Source organism: Homo sapiens, chromosome 18 (genome assembly GCF_000001405.40).
Source record: "Homo sapiens chromosome 18, GRCh38.p14 Primary Assembly".
NCBI classification, from domain to species: Eukaryota; Metazoa; Chordata; class Mammalia; order Primates; family Hominidae; genus Homo; species Homo sapiens.
In genome coordinates, this window is record NC_000018.10 from 70,205,696 (window position 1) to 70,222,187 (window position 16,492).

The 16,492-nt window shown below is 39.7% G+C and overlaps 2 long non-coding RNA genes across 6 annotated transcripts, besides 4 other annotated features; one reads left to right on the top strand and one right to left on the bottom strand.

Moving 5' to 3' along the window:
* Positions 32-141: an enhancer, noted in NCBI's record as "active region_13485". NCBI's record gives its function as "activates an Ori minimal core promoter by ATAC-STARR-seq in GM12878 lymphoblastoid cells {active_cell/tissue: GM12878}" and the evidence as "EXISTENCE:reporter gene assay evidence [ECO:0000049][PMID:35858748]".
* Positions 32-689: a biological region, named in NCBI's record as "NANOG-H3K27ac-H3K4me1 hESC enhancer GRCh37_chr18:67872991-67873620".
* LOC105372180 (uncharacterized) lies at positions 58-5,289 on the top strand. 5 transcript variants are annotated; one of them, XR_935599.3, is made up of 3 exons: positions 94-879; positions 1,334-1,399; positions 3,998-5,289. It is a non-coding gene; the product is annotated as an uncharacterized LOC105372180 (long non-coding RNA). The 5 variants fall into 5 exon arrangements; XR_935600.3 differs by having other exon boundaries at positions 1,334-2,060; positions 3,998-4,308; XR_001753492.2 differs by having other exon boundaries at positions 94-787; positions 3,998-4,308.
* Positions 60-689: an enhancer, noted in NCBI's record as "NANOG-H3K27ac-H3K4me1 hESC enhancer chr18:67872991-67873620 (GRCh37/hg19 assembly coordinates)". NCBI's record gives its function as "activates a minimal SCP1, AML or CMV promoter by ChIP-STARR-seq in primed H9 embryonic stem cells {active_cell/tissue: H9 hESC(primed)}" and the evidence as "EXISTENCE:reporter gene assay evidence [ECO:0000049][PMID:30033119]".
* Positions 152-391: an enhancer, noted in NCBI's record as "active region_13486". NCBI's record gives its function as "activates an Ori minimal core promoter by ATAC-STARR-seq in GM12878 lymphoblastoid cells {active_cell/tissue: GM12878}" and the evidence as "EXISTENCE:reporter gene assay evidence [ECO:0000049][PMID:35858748]".
* LOC124904321 (uncharacterized) lies at positions 4,658-6,441 on the bottom strand. Its single transcript, XR_007066411.1, has 2 exons — positions 6,298-6,441; positions 4,658-5,389 (listed from the first exon to the last, which is right to left on the bottom strand). It is a non-coding gene; the product is annotated as an uncharacterized LOC124904321 (long non-coding RNA).
* Positions 6,442-16,492: the final 10,051 nt, after the last annotated feature.

Sequence of the window (16,492 nt, forward strand, 5' to 3'; positions counted from 1 at the left end):
TGCCGCGCCACTGCGTCCAGCCACAATTAATGTACCCCCGGAAACACGTCCTGTGGGACGGTGAGTTCCGCAACGCCTGCGCTCACCAGGAGTAGGAGTCATTACGTGAGCCCTTCGCGGCCCCAGCGTCGCCAGGAGAGCTTCCAGCCTCTCTAGAATCACTACTGCGCACTTCCTGGACAGCAGTCTCCGTCGCAAGAAGCGGAGGGAAAAAAAAAAGCAACAAGCAGGGATAGAACCAGCGTTGGCCGCCGCGCACGTCGGGAGTTGTAGTTCTGGCTAGGCCGTGCGTCCTGCACCGATCTCCGGGCCCGCCGCGGCGCCCGCTGGCCTGGGGTTCCGGCTTACAGCGCGGGAATTCGGGAACCCAGCGCGGGCTGCAGAGGCCCCAGCAGGAGCCCCGCCTCCCGGCTCGTCGACGGATTCGTTCTTGGCCCTGCCAATCTGATTCTCAGCTCCCAGAACTTCACGATTTAGAATGTAGACTTTTGCTTTGTGACAGTTCTCCCCATCCCCGACTACTAAATGACGAACCCTCTTTAACTGTGAAATGTACCTGCAAAGTCAAGCAGTGTCTTTGGATACCCAAGTTCAGATATGAACAAGCAAGCTACAAAAGCGGGGTGGGCGGGTATGAGTGAGCAGAAGAGAGAAACCGGGCTGCAAAAAAGGAAAATAAAGGCGGGACGTGGGGGTATGATTTGCTGAATGGTACCAAAGTTGATTTTTTGCACCGTGCACAGTGATCGAGCTGAGCAAATTATTTTTTTTTTAATTATAAGCAGCGGTAAGAACAACAACAAAATTACATTTGGAAAATGATTTGCATTTTCTCGGTCTGATCATTTCACGTTCCCTGGGAAAGGGATGTCAAGGCAGGTAAAGTGGGCCCTCGGTATCCCTAGGTAATTGGTTCCAGGACCCCCGCAGATACCCAAATCCACCCATGCTTAAGTCTCTTTTATAAAATGGTGTAGTATTTGCATATAACCTACACACATCCTCCTATATGCTTTAAATCATCTCTAGATTGCTTACAATACCTAATACACTGTAAATGCTATGTAAATAGTTGTTACACTGTACTTTTATTCATATTATTTTTTAATTGTTGTATTGTTATTTTCAACTGTGGGGTTTTTTCCCGAATATTTTCCATCCCGTGTGTTGAATTCTCTGTGTGCAACCAGTGGACAGCAAAGGCCTACTGTATTCCCATTCCTATTTTGCCAAAGAGGAAACTTAGAATCACAAAAGTACCCCCACACAAAGTCACATTAACTAGTAAGTGACAGATTGAGGAGCTGACCTGATGTTTCTTTGTTCTATTTAGAGTGCCTTGCTGCCTCCTCATGTGTGTCAATAGGAGAGTGATGATATTTGAGTTGGATCTTAAAGAGTAAGTAGGAGTTTGCCACACAAAGAAGTTGGGTAAGGAAATTCCTGCAGGAGAAACCTGTATTTGCAAAGGCAAGAATCCAGACGGAGTGTGTCAAATTCGGGAAAAGAACAAAATTCAAGGTGGCCATATTATCTCTGGGAAGAAGAGAGGAAGGGCAAGATTGCTGCTAGCATGCTGGATATTCTCCATTCCACCTTCTAGTGGTTCCTCCCAGCTCTTCCAGCTCTGCATCAACTGACCTGAACAGGCAAAAAGACTGCACTATCCAGGCTGCCTGGCCCTCTGGCTTCCAGTTGGTTGCCGCCGATAGGAGGCATCAGCAGGAAATTGGAAAGTAGGAGGAAAGAGATACGGATATTAAACCAAGATTCCACTAGCCCATGCCTAAGCCTGCCTGGCCAAGATTGTAACAGTGGCTGAATTCCTTGACCCAAAGACCACATGTCCTGATGGATAGCATACCACAGTGGGCACTGCAGAACCAGTTACACCAACTCAGAAGTGTCTGTAGTTATCCAGGAAGGAAGGTGTTAATTACGGATTTGAAGTGTCAAGGTCAAAAAACACATGACAATACAGAAAAATAATAGAAATAACTTGTCAATGATGTTTCTGAGATGAACAATCTTAGGTGATGAGAGACTGTAGATGCAGTGGGGTAAGGGGCGATAATACTGTAGAAGAAATATAAAAAATCCATTGACTTAAAACAAGCATGTTACAAGTAAAATGGGGGTCAAACTATGAAAGGGTTTTACTTATGTTGCACCCAAGGTCAACATAAACATTTTATTTTATTTTCATTGTTGAGCATATATTGCTCCTGTAATTAGACAAAAATAATTAAATCCCATTCATTACATTCAAAGCAAATAATCTATCATTCTCCTATTAGACTATTGATTCAGCAATTTTTCCTAAAAAAAAATCAACCTTTGATTTATTAATTCTACTATTTAAAAACACACATATATATTCTAGTGTATTGACTGTATTATTTTTTACCAGTTACTTCACTCTGTCGCCCAGGCTGGAGTGCAGTGGTGTGATCTCCGCTCACTGCAACCTCTGCCTCCTGGGTTCAAGTGATTTTCCTGCCTCCACCTCCCACATAGCTGGGATCATAAGCATGAGCCACTATGCCCAGCTAATTTTTGTATGTTTAGTAGAGATGGGTTTTCGCCACAATGACCAGGTTGGTCTCGAACTCCTGACCTCAAATGATCCTCCTGCCTCGGCCTCCCAAAATGCTGGAATTACAGGCGTGAGCCACCGCACCTGGGCTACATCCTTCTTTAAGTGTGTTTTGCTGTTCTTTTTTTAACTTCTTAAGCTAAAGGTCTTGTTTACATTCTTTCTTTATTAGTTATAGAGAATTTTAAGTCCATGAATTTGCATGTAAAAAAAGTTTTAATCATGTATCATGAGTTTCAATTTGTAAGGTTTTGTTCTCAGCCAATCTGAAACTGCTGTTTTGATACTTTCTGTTTCACCCAAGATCCATGTAGGAAGATGGTCTTTAATCACCAAGTCTTTCTTACATACACTTTAGTTATTAATTTCGACTTTTATTATATCAGAGTCAGCAACAATTACAAAAGGTCAGGGCCTTTTGTAATTTGAATGTTAAAGTCAAAGATTTTAGGTGAACTTGAAAAAAATGGGCAATAGATGTCTGCGTGGATGTATAGAAAACTACATAATTTTCTTCTTGTATTTACAGTGGTTTTTGTTGTATTTATTTAAATGCTATGTATAAAAACTTATGTTGAATTTTACACGATGATAAATGATGGTCACTCAACTGGTGATATATACATGGATTGGGAAGGGGTCATGGGTAGAGCTATTATATGTTGAGATTTGCTATGATCACAAGCCACAGGACATTAAGGACACATGAACCCAAAGGCGGAGGTCAAATTCTACTATCTAATTATCTACTGATTCTGCTATTTCCACTTGAATCTGATTCATCTTCAACCTCTTGGTCATACCTGTAAAATCACTGGCAGTCATTGCCTCAGTGTGCTGAATCAGATCACTCAGATTAGATGAGATATTTATACCCAAAGTCACAGGAAATAGTTACTCTCCTAAGAACTCATATTACTATCTGTAGGAATTGATTCTAGGGGGAAATGAAATGCTTTTTTTCCTCTTGGAAAAGACATACATTTTTGCTCTTCCTCACACTTTGGACATGAGTTTTCATATTTGGGGTTATACATGGTGGGTCTGTCAGTTGTGATCATGTGCATTTTATACCCTTTCTTTCTGTTAATATTTGATGAAATCTGGTTCATATCAGTATAAGCTAAAATATTGTATAGAGCACAAGCTTTGGAGGTAGACAGACATGGATTTAAAAGCAGTGTTTTGGCTTCCCTAATCACACAACTGTGGGCAAGCTGATTAACTTTCTCGATTGCAAATAACAAAGCTGTAAGTCAGGCAAGTAAGCAAAAATGGGTTATCTAATATCTCACTCTAGAAGTGGATCTAGCCTCAGAGACTCAAAAGAATACCAGTGTTTTTTATTCATCTCTCGGCTTTGATTTTCTCAGTGTGTTGTATGTTTCTCTTCTATTACAGGCAGAATTTCCTCAAAATGTAGAGGAGGAGAAGATTGTGGTCCAGACTTCCATCTTCCCATATAATGACTCCAGAAGAAAAAGAAAGCTTCTCTCTGAGCATCCAGATATAAAATCTATGATAAGAACCCTAATCAGGATTACCAGTAGGAGATTACCTGATCCTAGGTTATTTGTTCACACTCTCTGAACAGCAGGGCAGGATATTATAATTATTAAAATTAGAGTTACAGAAAGTGGGGCAGAAGACTTCCACTTAAAAAGGTATGTTATTCACAGAAAATGAGGGAAAAGAATCTTGCACAGAGGGAAGAAAAAAAATGATATCTCTATACTCACTAAGCCTCAGCTTCCACAAGTAAAAATTAAGATTAATAATAATACCTACTAATAGGACTGCCTGGGGGCCAAAGAAGATGATTTAGAGAAAGGATTTGTTCCAAGACCTCCCATAATAAGTAGTTACTACAAATAATAGCTCTGTTTTAACACCTGTCAAACTTGGAGGTACCTCCCTTTCCAGGAATCGAATGCAATGTCAAACCATGTTCAAGTACTGTCTGTGAGTGTAACTGCAAGGTAGACGCTGCCTTCATCAAAGGGATCTTATGCCCCAGAAACAACTTTGCTACGTAAGTGATGGAGGCTTGCAGAGTGGAGGTGCCCACAACCTTACTGCATTTATTTGTGCAGCCATATCGAAAACATTTCCAGCAACAGAAAAAGGGGGAAGGAAGCACTCTGATACTTTTTTTCTTATTCTTCGGAGGGGACACATTATTGGCCCAAGAGGGAAATCCTTTTACAACCTACTTTTACATTAACTGGGATCATAATTTATTTATGAAAACATCATATAAAAAGAGCAAGCAAGCAGGATTCCTAAACAAAGGGGGCTCAAACCAATATATGTGTAGAAGTTATTCATTGTCCCCAGGGCAGGCATACGTTTTCGTGTGTCTTTCAGGAAAGTCACTGGCACCCCAGCCTTCCTTCTTTCAGAATAAAGGTCATGATTTATTAATAATTCTGATCTCTAGGAAGGAAAAATGACCCCAGGTTTCATCCCTCACTTACGAATTTTCCTAATCATGCCCCATAACTTTGTCCTATGAATTCACATATTTAATTTTGAAGGGCATCATCAAATTCTAATTTATTCTCTCAATACCAAAATAGAAAGTTAATACATATTTTATGCCATTTTAAAGTGGAAGGATTGAAACAAGGTGTATTCACTTTCCATTTCAATTAGAGCAACGTGATTTGAGCCCTGCTTTCTTTTCACAATTTAATAAATAGTTGTCTTAATTATGAAAGGACAGACGCAGATAAAGTTGTCTACTTTCACCACATCCATTCAGCACTGTACTGGAAGTGTTATCCAGGGTAACTAAACAAGAAAAAGAAATAAAAGGCATCCAGATTAGAAAAAAAAGAAAATTTATATATGTAATTGACATCACCTTATATATAGAAAATCCTGACTGGGCGTGGTGGCTCATGCCTATAATCCCAGCACTTTGGGAGGCCAAGGCGGGTGGATCACCTGAGCTCAGGAGTTTAAGACCAGCCTGGGCAACATGGTGAAACCCCATCTCTACCAAAAATAAAATAAATAAAATAAAATAAAATAAAATAAAATAAAATAAAATAAAATAAAATAAAATAAAATAAATAAAATAAATAAAATAAAATAAAATAAAATAAAATAAAAAAAATAAAATACAATACAATACAATACAATACAATAAAAAAATAAGCCAGGAGTGGTGGCATGTGCCTGTGGTCCCAACTCCTTGGGAGGCTAAGGTGGAAGGTGGGAGGATTACTTGAGCCTGGGAGGCAGAGGTTGAAGTGAGCTGAAATGGCACCACTGCACTCCAACCTGGGTGACAGAATGAGACTCCATCTCAAAAAAAAGAAAAAATAATCCTAAGATATTCACAAAGAAACTATTAGAGCAAAGAAGAGACTTTAGCAAGGTTGCAGAATGCAAGATCAATGTACAAAATCAATTCTTTTTCTATACCCTAGCAATAAACAATCCAGAAGTCCAATTTAGAAAATAATTCAATTTCCAATAATATCAAAAATAATAAAATACTTAGGAATAAGTTTAACACAATAAATGAAAGACTTCTGCATTAAAAATTATAAAACATTATTAAAAGTAATTAAATATTATTTAAATAAATTGAAGACATCCTGTATCATGCACTGGAAGATTTAGTATTGTTAAGATGGCAATACCCCCAAAATTGAACTACAGATTCAAAGCAATTTCTATCAAATACCCACCTGCCTTTCTAGTAGAAATTTTTAAGATTGTCCTCATATTCATGTGGAAATCAAGGGAATCAGACTGACCAAAACAATCTTGAAAAGGAACAAAATCAGATAATTTATACTTCTGAATTTCAAAACATATTTCAAAGCTACAGTATTCAAAACAGTGTGATACTGGTATAAGGACAGACAATGGAATAGAATTGAAAGTCCAGAAATAAACCCTCACACTTCTGGTCAATTGATTATCAACCAGTGCATCAAGGGAAAGAATAGTTTTTCCAACAAATGAGATAACTGGCTACCATATGCAAAAGAAGGAATTTGGATCTGCACCTCACACCATATACAAAATTAATTCAAAATAGATCAAAGACATAACTGCAAGAGCTAAATTAGAAAGTTTTAGAAGAAACATAGTCATAAATCTTTGCGAATTAAGCAACGGTTTCTTTGATCTGACAGCATAAACACAAGCAAAAAAATAGATGAACTGGACATCAACAAAATTAAAAACTTTTGTACTTCTAAGTTTTAGCAGTGGGTCTCTTCCAAGCACACCTTCCTTTCTTTGCTGTTCTGAGGCCTTTTTCAATAAACTTCCATTCCTGCTCTGGAACTTGCCTCCATCTCTTTTTCTTCTTTATGCCCCTCAGTCAAATTCTTTGTTCTGAGGAGGCAAGGACTGAAGTTGCTACGGACCCGTAAGGGTAGGTCGCCAGTAACTTGAGGTCTCTTCTACTGTGCACATAAGGACATGATCAAAAAAATTAAAAGACAATACACAGAATGGGAGAAAATATTTGCAAATCATATATCTAGTAAGAGACTATTATCCAGAATATGTAAAGAACTCTTACAACTCAAAAATAAGAAGGCAACCTACAGCCTGGGAAACACAGTAAGACCCCATCTCTGTAAAAAATAAAAGAATTAGATGGGTGTGGCAGAGCAAACCTGTAGTCCCAGCTACTCAGGAGGCTGAGGTGGGAGGATCACTTGAACTGAACCCAGGAGATTAAGACTGCAGTGAGCCATGTTCACACCACTGCACTCAAGCCTGGGCAACATTGTAAGACCCTGTCTCAAAAAAATAAAAGTACAAAAATACAAAAGACAGCTCAATTTTAAAATGGGCAAAGGATCTAAGTAGTCGTTTCATCAAAGAAGCTACATAAATGGCCAATACACACATAAAAAGGTGTTCAGCATTATTGGTCATCAAGGAAAAGCAAATCCAAAGCCAGAACGAGATATCAATTCATACCTACTAGAACAGCTATAGTCAAAAATAAGGGAAATAACATTATTGATGAGGATTTGGAGAAACTTCAAGTTTCCAATTTGGACAAATTGGAAATCTCATACATTGTTGCTAAGAATTTAAAATAGTGTTGCCACTGTGGAAAATAGTCTTGCAGCTCCTCAAAAAGTTAAACACAGAATTATCATATGACCTAGCAATTCTGCTCCCAGGTATATACTCAAAAGAAATGAAAACAGATGTTCCAACAAATGAATTCATTGCCCATGAATGTTTATAGAGGCACTATTTACAATAGCCAAAGCTGAAAACAACAAAAATGTCTATCGATAGAGGAATATAGTAGTGAGACATGATACAGAAAACATCATGCTAAGTGAAGAAACAAGTCACAAAAGACCACATATTGGATAATTCCATTTACATGTCTATTAGTCTGCTTGGGCTGCAATAACAAAATATGATGGTCTTGTTGGCTTAAACAACAGAAATTTATTTTCTGACAGTTCTGGGGGATGGGAAGTTGAAGATTAAGATGCTGGCAGGTTGAGTGTGTGGGGAGGCCTCTCTTCCCAGCCTTCACATAGCTATTTTCTTGCTGTGTCACGTGGTCTTTCCCCTATGCATGTGCAGAGAGAAAGAGATCTCTGTTGTCTCTTCTTCTTATCAGGACACCAGACCTATCAGATGAGAGTCTCCCCCTTATTACCTCATTTAAACTTAATTAACTCCTGAACACCCTTATCTCTAAATACAATCACACTGGGGGTTAGGGCTTCAACACATGAATTTGGGAGGGTGAGAGGACCACAATTCAGTCCATAACAAAATGAACTAGTCAGAATAGGTAAATTCATAGATGGACAAAGCAGATCATTGGTTGATAGGGACTGGTGGAAGCCGGGAATGGGAAGTGACTCCTTGGCTTTGCTGCCTCCTTTTGGGGATGATGAAAACGTTTTGGAACTAGATAGAAGTGATGGTTGTACTACATCGTGAATGTACTAAATGCTATTGAACTGTACACCTTAAAATGTTAATTTTTTGTTCTGTGAATTTCCCCATTTAAAAAAAATGAAACTCTAAAAAAATAGAAAATAGTAAGTGTTGACAAGGATGCGAAGAAATCAGAAAGCTCATACACTGCTAGTAGGAATATAAAATGTTACAACCACTTTGGAAGACAGTTGGGAGTCCCTCAAAAGTTAACCGAATGTTACTATATGACCAAGCAATTTCACTTCTAGGTACTTGCTCTCCAAAATGAAGACATAAGTACACACAAAAACTTGTCTACTATTGTTCATAGCAGCATTATTATAAGAGCCAAAAGTTAGAAACAAGCCAAATGGCCATCAATTCATGAACAAACAATAGACTTATGGAATAAATAAACCATATCTATACAATGAAATATTATATAGCTAAAAATGGAAGGAAGTACTGATATATGCTGCAATGTGGATGAACTTTCAAAACATCGTGCTAACTGAAAGCTAGCTATGAAAGTACACCTATTACAGTGTATGGTTCCATTCATATGAAATGTCCAGAAAAGGCAAATCTATACAGACAGGAAGTAGCTTAGTGGTTGCTTAGATTTGGGGGTCATTGGGGAAATAGAGTGGTAATATCTGAAGCATAAGGGATTTCTTTTTGAGGTAATGAAAATGTTCTAAAATTGCCTGTGGTGATGGTTACACATATCTGTGAATATATCAAAACCTACTGAATTGTACACTTTAAATTGGTGAATCTTGCAGTACCTGAATAGTATCTTAATAACGTAGTACCCAAAAAAGCAATAGGCTGATATTAAATTAAACACAAGAATTTATTTCGTAAAGAATTTATTTTGTAAAGACACAAAAAGTTTGCTAAGGAAAATCAGTGTCTTTTCCTCGGAATTTATGAGAGCGTTATTTTCCATTTACTGATGACGTTTAGATGTAGTCCTCCTACAGTGACAGATCAGATGGCTGGCCCTTTTGTGAACCTTAGAGCACCATTGCCAGTTATCTACATTATTCAGCAAATGCAAGATGTTTCTGTCCCATTTGCCCTTGTCCTTCAGGTTGGGGTTACTGTTCACTCTACCATTTAACCTCTCAAAAACATTCTTTTTTGGTAAAATGAGGTAAGTATGTACTTTGATTTCCAAATTGTGAGATTTGATTAGCAAGATGAGAAAGTCCTTCCATGAAGAGTGCAGTATAAGTTCAAGGTAAGATTATTATAATGTTAAGAAGTTTTTTCAACAGATAAAGACATATAACTTCATTATTACAGTCAGATATATGATTCTGGGCAGGAAATATTTCCAGGAAAAAGAAAGAAAGAAAAAAACCAGCTCTTTAGATATGTAACACAAAGATCTAGTTTCTTGTGATCTTCAGGCGGCTCCTATGAGCAGCTCCTCTCCACTCAACTTGAACAATAATAGTCTCCTTTGGGGCACCAGCTGAGTCGGATCTATTTAGGTGAAGTTCAGAACCTGACCCTGACTTTCAGCTCTATCTTGGCTAGTGATACATCTATGCTGAATGTGTGTCAGGTCTGTAAATAAAATACTGATTTCAGTCACTTCTGCAGAATGTATTTTGATACTGTGATACTTTTCAGTGGCAGCTCCATTTTAAAGCCAGTTATCACTAAGGGGAAAAGTCAGTTAATCAGTTAATGTAAAAAAGCAGTGGAGGCCTAACACTGGTCATTTTGTTATAAGAGCGTCTGAAGTCCTCCCTTAATTTGGGAAGGTAACCCTGCACAGCACTCAGATTTAAACGTTGTGTCATGTTAACTGTCAAATGAAGACAAAAGCCTTGGAATTCTAAAGAATCTCTTCTCATGAGGCCAGTCTCCACAATCTAATAATAATGCTTTTTATTTATAGCAATTTTTGCACACCTCATGTGGCCCAGGACAGGCTGGCCCTTGAAGGGGCCTACAGCTGGTCACTTGAAGACCTCTCCATCTTTGTTTTTCTATGAGACTTCACCCATGTCATCTGCTTCATAAATTTTTTTTTTTTTTTGAGACAGAGTCTTGCTCCGTTTCCCAGGCTGGAGTGCAATGGCACGATCTCGGCTCACTGCAACCTCTGCCTCCCAGGTTCGAGTGATACTCCTACCTCAGCCTCCTGAGTAGCTAGGATTATAGGTGCATGCCACCACACCCAGCTAACTTTTGTATTTTTAGTAGAGACGGGGTTTTGCCATGTTGGCCAGGCTGGTCTCGAACTTCTGACCTCAGGTGATCTGCCCACCTCGGCCACCCAAAGTGCTGGGATTACAAGCGTGACCCACTGTGCCCAGCCCTGCTTAATAAGTATTCTGATTGAATAAATGAACGAACTTCCAGGTGATGCTTAAGATCATTTCTGTTGGGAAGTGAGTTATTAAGTCATGAATCAGAAGAGACTTAATCTTTTTAAAAGAGATTTTATGAAATTGGAAAATAAGTTGAATTGTTTTAATACGTGTTTTCTCTAAATCCTAGCACTAAGGGTAAATCTCCTTCACAAACCAGTAATCTTGGAAGTTCTGAAATTCTCAAGCCGGGGCCCATGCTATTTGCTCTCACTCCCTAATCTCATTCACATTTTTTGTTTCAGTTAAAAACAAACACAAGCAACTTACACATTTATTTATATCTCCATTTCTTTCTTTTGAGATCCAGACCAGGGTACTCAACTGCCTGCTCAGCATCTTCAGCCTGAAATCTCAGAGGCATCTCAGACTCAACACACAAAAATCTAAACACATGGTCTTCTCTCCCAAACATCATATTCCTTCAGTGTTTCCTATTTCGGTGAACAGCTGTGCTGGCTCCCTGTTTCTGCAAGCTAGATACTGGAGGAACCCTCATGCTTCTCCTTCCTTACTCCTATATAGAAAATATCTCCAAAGCCAACACAGGTTGAACATCCCTAATCCAAAAATCAGAAGCCAAAATGCTCCAAAACCTGAAACGTTTCGAGTGCCAACATGACACTCAAAGGTTTTTGCTCCAAGGAAATGCTCATTGGACCATGTGGGATTTGGGAATTTTAGATTTGGGTTGCAAATATTCCAAAATCTGAAAAAATCTGAAATTTGAAACACTTCTGGTGCCAAACATTTGGGGACTATTTCAGGGATCATCTATCCTTCTAAATTGTTGATTTATGTAAATACACATGTATGTCCCCTCAAATCGATTTTCCGCAGGCAGCCAGAGCAATCTTTTCAAAATGTAAATCTGGTAACATCACCCCTCCCCACTTCACTGCTTGATATACTCTGTGGCTTCCAATTACTTTTAGTGTAAAGAAAACACTAAACATGATGTTCAGGGTGTGGAACAAATCCTCTCTCCACCTCATCTCACGCCACGCTCCCATTCACTCTCAGTGCTCCACCCACTCTGGCCAGATTTACAGCTCTGATGTTTTTTTGTGTTCCTTTAAGCCACGGGGCTTTTGAATATAGTTTTATTTCTGCTTGAAATGTTTTATTCTCCCTTATTTGACTCATAAACTCCTCTCTACCCTTTATATTTTCATAGGCTCAAGCATAACCTCTTTAGAAAGGCCTTCTTTGACTAAGTTCAAAAACCTCTGTTATACACTCCTGAAGCACAATATTCTTCACCTTTGTGACATATTATAATTCCAATTTTACATGTATTTGATTAGTATCCATCATCTCTTCTGGAATGCAGATTCTGTGAGAGGAAGTTTTCTGTTTTTGTTTGCTACTTTATACCTAGAGTGTAGCCAAATTCTTAACTCATAGGAGACAATAATAAGTATATTTAGTGCATGAATGAATAAACTGAATGCTATTGTCCTATAAGAGCACATGGCTACCATATTAGTCTGTTTCCACACAGCTGATAAAGACATACCTGAGACTGGGCAATTTACAAAAGAAGGAGGTTTATTGGACTTACAGTTCCACGTGGCTGGGGAGGCCTCACAATCACAGTGGAAGGTAGAAGTCACATTTCACATGCCAGCAGAAAAGAGAAGAGAGCTTGTGCAGGGAAACTCCCATCTATAAAACCATCAGATCTTATGAGACTTATTCGCTATCATGAGAACAGCACAGGGAAGACCTACCCCCATGATTCAGTTACCTCCCACTGGGTCCGTCCCACAACACATGGGAATTATGGGAGCTACAGGATGGGATTTGGGTGGTGACACAGAGCCAAACTACATCAGCTACCAATGGGTTGCATTCTAATAAGAGAGTTATTTTAAGGGGTATTTTCCCTAAAAAAAAATCAATGATTTTTTCACACCACTTGGAAGAAGAGAGAGTATGGAAATAGTGTGAGCAAGCTGCTAGACTGAGGATGACCTTTCTTCTGGCTTAAAGCTGGCCATCTTCTCTCTGTGTCCTCAGGCGGCAGACAGAGAGAGAAAACTCACTGGTGTCAATTTTTTCTTTTTTTTTTTGAGACAGAGTCTTACCCTGTCACCTAGACTTGAGTGAAGTGGCACAACCATGGCTCACTGCAGCCTCACATTCCTGGGCTCAAGTAATTCTCCTACCTTAGCCTCATGAGTAGCTAAGGCTACAGGCATACACCACTATACCCAGCTAATCCGTTAACTTTTCATAGAGACAGGGTCTTCCTCTGTTGCCCAGGCTAGTCTCAAACTCCTGGCCTCAAACGATCATCCCCCTCAGCCTCCCAAAGCTCCAAGGTTACAAGCATGAGCCACCATGCCTGGTCTGTCTTCTTATAAAACCACCGATCCTATAGGATTAGAGCCCACCCTTGTGACCTCACTTAACCTTACTTACCTCCTAAAAACCCTGTCTCCAAATACAGTAACATTGAGGGTTAGGGCTTCAAAATATGAATTTTGGGAGGACACAAACATTCAGTCCATAGCAAAATGTAAATGTATTAATTGAAAAGAGAGAGGGCAGGGTGCAGTGGCTCACGCCTGTAATCCCAACACTTTGGGAGGCTGAGGCAGGCTCATCACTTGAGGTCAGGAGTTCAAGACCAGTCTGGCCAACATGGTGAAACCCTGCCTCTACTAAAAATACAAAAATTAGCCAGGTGTGGTGGCGCATGCCTGTCATCCCAGCTACTTGGGAGGCTGAGGCAGGAGAATCACTTGAACCTGGGAGGTGGAGGTTGCAGTGAGCAGACATCGCACCACTGCACTCCAGCCTGGGCAACAGAGTGAGACTCCATCTCAAAAATAAAATAAAATAAAAAGAGAAAAAGAACATGAATAGATATTTCTCCAAAGAAGATGTACAAATGACAAATAAGCACATGAAAAGATGCTCAGTGTTCAAATCATTAGGGAAATGGAAATCAAAACCACAATGAGATACCACCTCACACCCATTAGGATGTCTACCATCAGAAAAAACGAAAACAAAAAGTAACAAGTGTTCTCCAAGATGTGGAGAAAGTGCAACTTTTGTGCACTGTTGGTAGGAACGTAAAACAGTGCAGCCATATGGAAAACAATACGATTATTCCTCAAAAAATTAAACCTAGAATTATCATGTGATCCAGTAATTCCACTTCTGAGTATACACCCAAAAGAATCAAAGGCAGAGACTTGAACAGATATTTGTACACCATTGTTCATGGCAGTATTATTCACAGTAGCCAACATGTGGAAGCAGCTCAGGTTTCTATTGACAGATGAATGAATAAACAAGATGTGGTATATACAATTAATGGAATGTTACTTAGCCTTAAAAAGGAACTAAATTCTGACACATGCTACTACAAGAATGAGCCTTGAGGACATTATGCTAAGTAAAATAGGCCAGTCACAATTTTGGTTGGAATCAGACAAATACTGTACGATCGCAGTTATACAAGGTACTTAGAATAGTCAAATTCATAGAGACAGAAAGTAGAATGGTGGTTACCAGGAACTGGAGAAAGGAGGAATGGGAAATTCCTTTTTAATGGGTACAGAGTTTCAGTTTTCCAAGATGAAAAGAGCTCTGGAGATGGATGGTGGTGATGGTTACATAACGATGTGAATGTGCGTGATGCCATTGAACAGTATGCTTAAAAATGGTTAAGATGTGCCAGGCACAGTGGCTCACACCTGTAATCCCAGCACTTTGGGAGGCCAAGGCGGGTGGATCACCTGAGGTTGGGAGTTCGAGACTAGCCTGACCAACATGGTGAAACCCCATCTCTACTAAAAATACAAAATTAGCCGGGCGTGGTGATGCATGCCCGTAATCCCAGTTACTTGGGAGGCTGAGGCGGGAGAATCACTTGAACCCGGGAGGCGCAGGTTGCTGTGAGCCGAGATCACGCCATTGCCCTCCAGCCTAGGCAACAAGAGCAAAACTCTGTCTAAAAAAAAAAAAAGAAAAGAAAGAAAAAGTTAAGATGGTAAATTTTATGTTATGTATATTTTATCACAATTTTTTAATAAGAGAAAAATTTCAAAAGTGTAAAGAAATGCCTAATGGTAGAGGAGTCCTATAGTGTCTCATCGCAGTTTCATGATTTTGCCCAAAGGTGACCTTTTCCAGTTAACTAATAGGAAACCAAACACTTTGACGATGTCACAGGAATGAGGCACGAGGGACTCATCGGTGCTGAGGACTTTCTGAGTCAGGTCAAGAGCCTTGACAGGGAGGTTGGAATCACAGACTATAAGGCTTCAAAATGAATTTGGAGATTGTGTTCATGGATCTGCTTGCTTTTCTGTTTTTGTTTGTAACTCAGTGCATATGGACCTCCAGAGTGTCAGTCAATCCCCAACCTGTTCATAATTGTTTTATATATTTGCACGTGTGCGCTATTCTAAGGAGAATGTCCATGGCTTTCATCAGATTCCCAAAGCATTCTGTCAACCTGCACAAAATAACGAAACGGATCTAGTCTGCTCTCACCTTTTTCAGATCTGGAAACTGAGATTTGAAGAAACGTGGCTTCAAGTCCTAGAACAGAGAGTCAGTTTTAGCGAATTCTGCTTCTCCCTTTCATTGAGGTATTTTAAGTTTCAGGTGGCTTCCCCCACGGGAGTATTTCCGTTTTTAAGAGAGCGATGCTGGAACTAGCTGTCCTTAGAACAATGGGAGGGATTGTATCTCAGCCCCTTTCTCTGCTGACCCTGCCTTTAGTGATTCCAACAGGAGTTCTTTAATAAGGGAAAGAGGAGGGTGACTAGAATAGAAGCAGAGGAAGGGAACGGGATTTGCTGACAGGGCCGGGTGGAGGGGGAGGTGCAGACTGTAACTCTTTGGATGTCCTTGGACCCAAACGACTCCCCTGAGATGGTAGCAGGAACTAGAACCATTGTGTTCGTATCACAGCACAATCTAGATGCAGGGCTGGGCACAGCGCGATCTGGCCTCCAGGAGGGAGAATGGAGAGCGATTCACAGCAGGACCTTCCCAGAACAAAAGAAGAAGGAAGAAATTTGGGCTAAGCACAATGACTACAAAGACCAAACAGGCAGCCTGATAAAGCATCAAGCCAGCCAAAGAAATTTAAGCCCTTTTCTTGGCAAGAACTAGCTATGTTTTAGTAATAAGATCTTTTCACAGGAAAGCAGGTGCTTTGTAGACAACTGGTCTTAATGAGCACACATCAATAGGTTTGGCTGAAAACCTTGTAATACCAAAGAGCAGAATACTTAAATCAAATATGAAAGTACCATAGTTGTTCAGTAAATTAAGGCACACTGCCCGGAAACTGTGCACTTTTCTGTTGTCTTAAAATGTTGTGCCAAGTGGCACAATGCTCAAAAGAAGAGTTAGTTAGGTTAGTAGATTAGAATTATCCACTAATTAAATTGTGGCACATAGTCTTCCAGCATGAAGCAGTAGTCAGCAGCAAAGAGCGTTTTTCAATTAATTAGAGAGCAGTGGCATTTACCAGATCAGACGCCACGTGCTCCAGGCTCTCCACAGCATCAGCTCCACAAATTCACTCAGTGACGACGAGAGA